Source organism: Homo sapiens, chromosome 11, assembly GCF_000001405.40.
Source record: "Homo sapiens chromosome 11, GRCh38.p14 Primary Assembly".
Lineage (NCBI taxonomy): Eukaryota > Metazoa > Chordata > Mammalia > Primates > Hominidae > Homo > Homo sapiens.
The window spans coordinates 69,372,631-69,379,675 of NC_000011.10; positions in this window are offsets into that span (position 1 = coordinate 69,372,631).

Consider the following 7,045-nt stretch of genomic DNA (forward strand, 5'->3'; position numbering starts at 1 on the left):
AGAAATGTTTGCCGACGCTTGAGCAAAAAATAATAACTTGTCAGATGCACTCAAGCACTGAGCACCAGGCCCTGTTTTAGGTGCTGGGCACACAGCCATGATGAAACTGGAATTTTCTACCCTCGTGGAGACAACATTCTGGTGGAGGGAGAAAGAACAAGCAAAATAAAGAAGGAAATTGTCTGGGCTGCAGGGGATACATGTTAGAGAGAGAGTCAGAGCAGGAAGCAAATCAGAGGGTGGGGAGGGCGACTGAAAGAAGGGTGTCAGGTGGCCTCACTTATGACCTGGAGAAAGAGAGGGGAAGAGCTCTGTGGGTGTCCCAGGTAGTGGGAACTATGGCTATGCAAAGGCCCTGAGGCAGGAGTGAGGAGTCCGGGCGGCTGGAGCAGGGGAGAGGGTGGGCAGTGGGAGACGTGGACAGCAGGTCACAGCCACCCCCGGTATGGCCTTCCAGGCTGTTGTGGGGACCTGGGCATTTACTCTGATGGGAACAAGCAACCACGGTAAGTTCTGAGTAGAGGAGGGCTGTAGTCTGACGTAGGCTAGGCAGGATCCCTGGGCGCTATGAGCATAAGGACAGCAGCTGGGGCAGGATAGAGATGCAAGTGGACCAGGGTGGTGGCCGTGTGTAGAGGCGGGCAGGTTCCAGAAGGTTCTGGAAGCAGGGCTTACTAGATTCCTGCATCAGATGGAGGAGGCAAGAGAAGAAGGGGCCCAGCATGACTCTAAACCTCAAGATTGTGTTTGCCTGTCTCATCCATCTTTCCTTTCTGCCTCCCAGTCTGTGAGCCCCTTGAGGTTGGGGTCACCCCTGGCCATCTTATCCCTCATGGCCACCACTGTCCACAGCTCTGCAGGGCACCCACCCAGTATCTGTGGGGTAAGTGAATGCATGAGTGAACCAATGGTGGTCTTCTACTTCCTTGGGGAGTGTTATGGGCTGAGTTACATTCTCCTCAAAATTCCTAAGTTGAAGCCCTAACCCTCTGTGCCCCAGAATGTGACTGTATTTGGCAACAGAATCTTTAAAAAGGTAATTAAGTTAAGGCCAGGCGTGGTGGCTCCCGCCTGTAATCCCAGCACTTTGGGAAGCTGTGGCAGGTGGATCACCTGAGGTCAGGAGTTCAAGACCAGCCTGGCCAATGTGGTGAAACCCCATCTCTACTAAATATACAAAAAAGTAGCTGGGCATGGTGGTGGGTGCCTGTAGTCCCAGCTATTTGAGAGGTTGAGGCAGGAGAATCTCTTGAACCTGGGAGGCAGAGGTTGCAGTGAGCCGAGATCACGCCACTGCACTCCAGCCTGGGTGACAGAGCAAGACTCCGTCTCAAAAAAAAAAAAAAAGTAGTTAAATTAAAATGAGGCCATTAGAATGGGCCCTACTGCTGTCCTTATAAGAAGAGGAGATTGAGACACAGACATGCACAGAGGGACAACCGTGTGAGGACACAGGGGGAAGGCGACACCCGCGAGCCAGAGAGAGAGGCCTCAGGAGGACCCAGGCCTGCGACACCTTAACCTTGGACTTCCAGCCTGTAGAATGTGGGAGAACACATGTCTGCCCTGGAAGCCCCAGCCTGCGGTGCTGCACTATGGTGCCTGCAGGAACTGTAGCACAGGGTGAGGCAGATGGTGGGCGTGGAGCAGGGCACACCGCCATGGGCGAAGAAACAGATTCTTCGTAGAGTGCGGCACCCAGTCAGGCACCTGGGAGTTGGTGGCTGAGCTGGGGCAGGACTTGACCTCCTGGACTCACCTCCATCTGGGGGAGGCGGGGCCGGGTGGCAGGCAGCGTGCACATGGCCCCTGGAGTGGCTGCGAGATGCTGCCCCCAGGAGCATGGGAACACCAGCTGTCAGCACTTGCTCAGCTGCGACCCACACCTGGCGTGTTACAGCTGCAGAGGAAAACAGGCCTGATGGGTGTGGCCTCCTCTCCAGCGGCCTCCTGTGCCCAGGACAGGGCACCTCAGGCCTCGGAGGCTCCTCCCCAGCCCACCCCTTGGGAGCCTGTTGTGCCCGGGGTGGGTGGGGCAGATCTTGCTCGCAGCCAGGCGGCAGCTTATCCCACCAGACACTTCCTCTGCATGGGTCTGCTTCCTGCAGATCCTGCAGCTCAGCCAGGACCCTCTCCACTGCCGTCCACTGCTCCATGTGGGGGTGGGCCGGAGTCTGGGGCCAAGATGAACCAGACCTGCGGCCAGGGAGGGCCCTGCTCATTCCCCAGGTTTCCCCGGATGGCACTGGGGTGGGGGGACCCCAGGGGTAGCTGCCTCTTCACCTTGCTCCCCCATGCATGGGGCTGCAAGAGCAGGAAGCCCATTCCCAGCACAGTCTACTGCCTGGGGCTGAGCGGCCCATGAGGGACGAGGTCACATTCTACAGAGGCCACATGGAAAGGACAGGGCTCGCCCTGGGCCTGAGGGGTCACCAGGCTGGCCTTTTCCCAGAGACCCTTGGTAGAGGAGATGGTTCAGGGTGACTCTAGATATGGAGTCTGAGCCCAGATGTGGGGTCTGGTGCCCTGTTTGTCACTGTCAGGGTTCGAAGTGTGACCTTGGGCAGACAGGACCCCACTTGACCCACTTCCTCCAACTGTGCTGAGAGGGAGAATGGGCCTGGGACTCCCTGGGGTCCCTAGGTGGCACTGGAGAGGCCACACTTCATGCTGGCAGGGGCCCCCTGCAGACTCTTACTCCAGAAGAGGATGGGTTTAGCCCTGAGCAGGGCTGGGGAGAGGCCTTGGTGCAGTGAGAAGGAAAGCTCCCTGTCCTCACACTGTCTCAGCAGGGACAGGTGCCAGCAAAGTTGTGAGTCCCTCAGCCCATAGGTGAGAGTGGCGGCCGGCGTGGGCCCCAGGTTTCTGTGTGTGTCCCGGGCTGTGCAGTGTGGCCAGCAGGTCAGCCCCGCTGTGCAGAGCTGTTCTCAGGGGTGGCCTCCTCCTCCTTGTCCTGTTTGTCCTCACAACAGCAGCTACTTCCCTGGGCCTGGGGCCACACAGACCGGCTCCTCGGTCACCCAGGGATAGTCCAGTCACGTCTGCAGAGTCTTTTGGCCAGGTAAGGTCGCACATTCACCATGTGAATTGTGATTAGAATGTGGACGTCTGGGGGCCATGATTCAGCCAACTGCACACAGGAAGGAGACATAGGGGTAAAGACATCAGGAGAGGATCCCCCAGGGAGGAGTGGGTGTGGTGGTCCCAGGGACAGCACAGAGTGGGGTGTCAGCACGTCTGGGTGATTTGGGAAGATGAGACATGCTGGGGAGCACCAGAGAGTTAGCTGGGCCCAGAGCACGCAGCTCCCTCTCCAGGCCCCGGCTTTAAAGGGCCCCCATCTGGCCCTCCCCAGGCGAAGAGCAAGGGGTTCTCAGGCCAGGGACACATGGGCACCGAGGGCCCAGGCTCCGAGGACCCAGGAAGCGGGCTCCTGGCCTGTGGCCCACGCCTGCCTGCAGTTCCTGCGTCATCCGCGGCTCCCCAACAACCCGCTTGTTTGTCTGCCCTTCACAGCCAACTCCCCACCCCACCCACTAGATGTCAGTTTGGGGCCCGGAAGCGTGTCCTTTCCAGCTCAAGGTCCTCACACCATGCCCAGGGCATCTGACTTATGGTGGGCGCGTCTCCATCATTATCTACAGAATGAATGAATGTGTGAATGAATGAATGGGTCTTGGAGCTGCCTATGAGGAAGGTAATTCCTATCATCACCCCAGCGTACACATGAGGCGACTGGGGTCAGCCCACAACACACAGCTGCAGAGCGGTGAGTCGGGGACACCTGGGTCTAATCTCGGCTTCACAATGACCCTCGGCTGAAAGCTCTCCGGCCCTTCCTCCAGGGTTGCTGGCTCTGTGCTGAGCCCAGCCCCTTCTCTGAGCAGCTTTGAGCCCAGAAGCCTCTGCAGGCCCTATCTGGGGTGGCCTCGAGGATCTTGGGGTGGTGTTGGGGGTGGTCTCAAATGGGCCTCAGGCTGGTGCCTGCGGGGCCGTGGGGAGCATTTGAACATTTCCTCTTCCCTTCCTGGGAAGGGGGTGCCAGGGGTCTGGGGGTCCAGCCAAGGCCCATGCCTTCAGCCCAAAATGGGGCCAGATGGGGTTGCCAGGCCTCCAGGAGGCCCTTCTTCCCATTGTCTGGGAGGGATAAGACAGTAACGAACCCATCAGACCCTTGCCTTCACCCTCTCGCCTTCACCCTCTCGCCTTCACCCTCTCGCCTTCACCCTGGGGAACTGACAGGCGGGAGAGGGTGAGATGGGGGCTGGTGGCCCAGAGGGGTGAGAGCAGGGTCAGAAACTGGCTCTGTGGCAGGGCAGGTCCCTGGGTAGGAGAAGGCAGGGCTTGGAGGCACACACCCGCACACACCAACACACCCAGCACACACAAGAACACACCCCGAGTGCTCCTGCACACACCCACCTGGGAACGCCCACGCCCACTGGGGAACGCACACGCCCACCTGGGAACGCACACGCCCACCCAGGAATGCCGACGCCCACCCAGGAATGCCCATGCCCACCTGTGAACGCACACGCCCACCCGTGAATGCAGTCGCCCACCCAGGAATGCCCACGCCCACCTGTGAACGCACACACCCACCCGTGAACACATACGCCCACCCAGGAACATACACGCCCACCCAGGAACGCACACACCCATCTGTGAACGTACACGCCCATCCAGGAACGCACACGCCCAGTTAGGAATGCAACCGCACACCCGTGAATGCAGACGCCCACCCGTGAATGCACACGCCCACCCGTGAACGCAGACGCCCGCCCAGGAATGCACACGCCCACCCGTGAACGCAGACGCCCACCCAGGAACGCACACGCCCACCCGTGAACGCACATGGCCACCCCAGGGGGCGACGTGCCCAGCTCTGTTTGGCATGGCATGCAGCTTCTCATCTAGAGTCAGTCGGAGCTGAAAATGGACCTCTCTGGGAAAAAATCTACTTGATTTAAAAACAGAGAGAACTCAAACGCCAATGCTGTGGGGGGCAGGGGGCTTGGAGCAGGGGTGAAGAGCCCTGCACCCTGCAGCAGATACCAAGGGCGGCGTCGCACAAACTGTGGGATTAGGTGGCAGAGGCTGTTCCGAGGCTGCTCCGATGTGTGGGAACTGAGGGGGTTCCCAGGATGTGAGACTTTCAGTGCTGAAACTGGGAAAGTCCTGGGCGAGCCGGGACAAGTCGCTCACCCTACTAGAGACAGTTGGGCGAAGGAGACACATTGGGATCAGTCTCCCATGGCCTTCAAGTGTCAGGGCAGGGGCTGGGGACCTCCCATATAACGAGCAGCCTCAGGAGACTCCAGGCAGGCAGGAGCGTCGGGGGCTGCGACTCCAGAATGGCCAAGGCTTCTACCGTCCAGCCCCTTTGTAACACAGAGCACCCAACGGGCGCAGCCGCCCCCATGCCTCACACCTAACCCAGCAGGGGCCACTGTGGACCCCGACTTCCCAGGGCTGGGACCTGCCTGGGGCTACTGACTCAGGTGCCTGATGTCCCATGTCACGGTGGCTGCCTCCCTCCCAAACGCCCTGCCCATGGGCTTCTCCCTGGAGATGCCAGGGGGTTTGCTTCCCTCGATCACAGGCTCCTGCTCCCCTTCCAGGCTCCCAGGGAGAAGACCTGCGCTCGGCAGATCTCTAGAAAAGGTCCCATAGAGGTCTGGGCTCAGGGGTCCTTTCAGGGTGGGGCACCTCCTTCTGTCACCCACACGGCTGGCCGGGTGTCCCGTGCTGGACACACACGAAGGACATGAGCAGCCACGGGTCCACGAAAGAGCCATTTCTACCACAAGCCGGACTGGGCTTCGCGGAGGTGCCCCGGGGAAACCCATGGGGAGGCACAGCCTGGACTGGACAGGGAGGCAGCCCCCATTCATCAGCTCCTTCCCTGGCACGCATTAGTTGGTACCTACTGAGTGCAGAGCCCTGGGCCAGGCGGTTCTGGAGGCTGGGATGGTCACGCCCCTGCTCTCTTGAACACTGGAGCTGCTGCTGTCTCTCCCTGTTTGCTCTCCCTGAGCCGGGACCCCACGCAGCCTGAATTGGGATTGCCCTACTCTGAGCCCTCCCGTTCCTGAGGCCTGAGATTTGGGGCGTCGTGAAGCCTTGAAGATCCGCTGAGCCCTCCAGAGCTCACACTGCATCTGCTGGCACCCGAGCTATCAGGACCACTGGCCTGGCGAGGGCTATGCTCTCCCTGCAAGAGCTGGTGGCACAGGGCTTCTGTGTCCTTCCATCCCAACAGGGCCCCTGCCCTCTGCACACAGGCACCGGGTGAGCCCTGGACACAGGGTGCGGGGTGCACACCCCTGTGGAGCTCAGAACCAGGTTAGGATCATCAGCACCTGGTGTGACAAGGACCACAGTGCCCCTGGGGTTTGGCTTTCACGCCTGTCCGTTTCAAAGCTCAGTACCGCCACACCTGCCGAGGCTGGTCACTGTGGGACAGGGCATGGCTAAGGACCCTCCTTCCCCGCAGAGGTGGAGACAGCGGATAGCCACCCCCTTACTCAGCATCCTCCCTGCCCTTCCCTTTTCATCTTCCCTCAACATTTTAAAGTCAGACACACGAGGTGAACCATTTCTAGCCTCTTTTTTCTCATCTGTAAAAGCTGAACAAAAATCCCTCTCCACCGGGCACAGTGGCTCACGCCTGTAATCCCAGCACTTTGGGAGGCCGAGATGGGCAGATTCCCTTAAGTCCAGGAGTTCGAGACCAGCCTGGCCAACATGGCAAAACCCCGTCTCTACTAAAAATACAAAACTTAACCAGTAGTTCCAGCTACTCAGGAGGATGAGACGGGAGGATCACCTAAGCCTGGGAGACAGAGGGTGCAGTGAGCCAAGATCACACCACTGCACTCCAGCCTGGGCGACAAAGACAGACTTTGTCTTAAAAAAAAAGAAAAAGAAAAAGAAAAAGAAAAAAAACAAAGTCCTGCCTGACAGCATTGCTGAGAAGATGAAGTAGGACCAGGCTCAGAAAGCACATGGCTCCCATCCCGCACACAGTAGGGCCCCAGGAAGT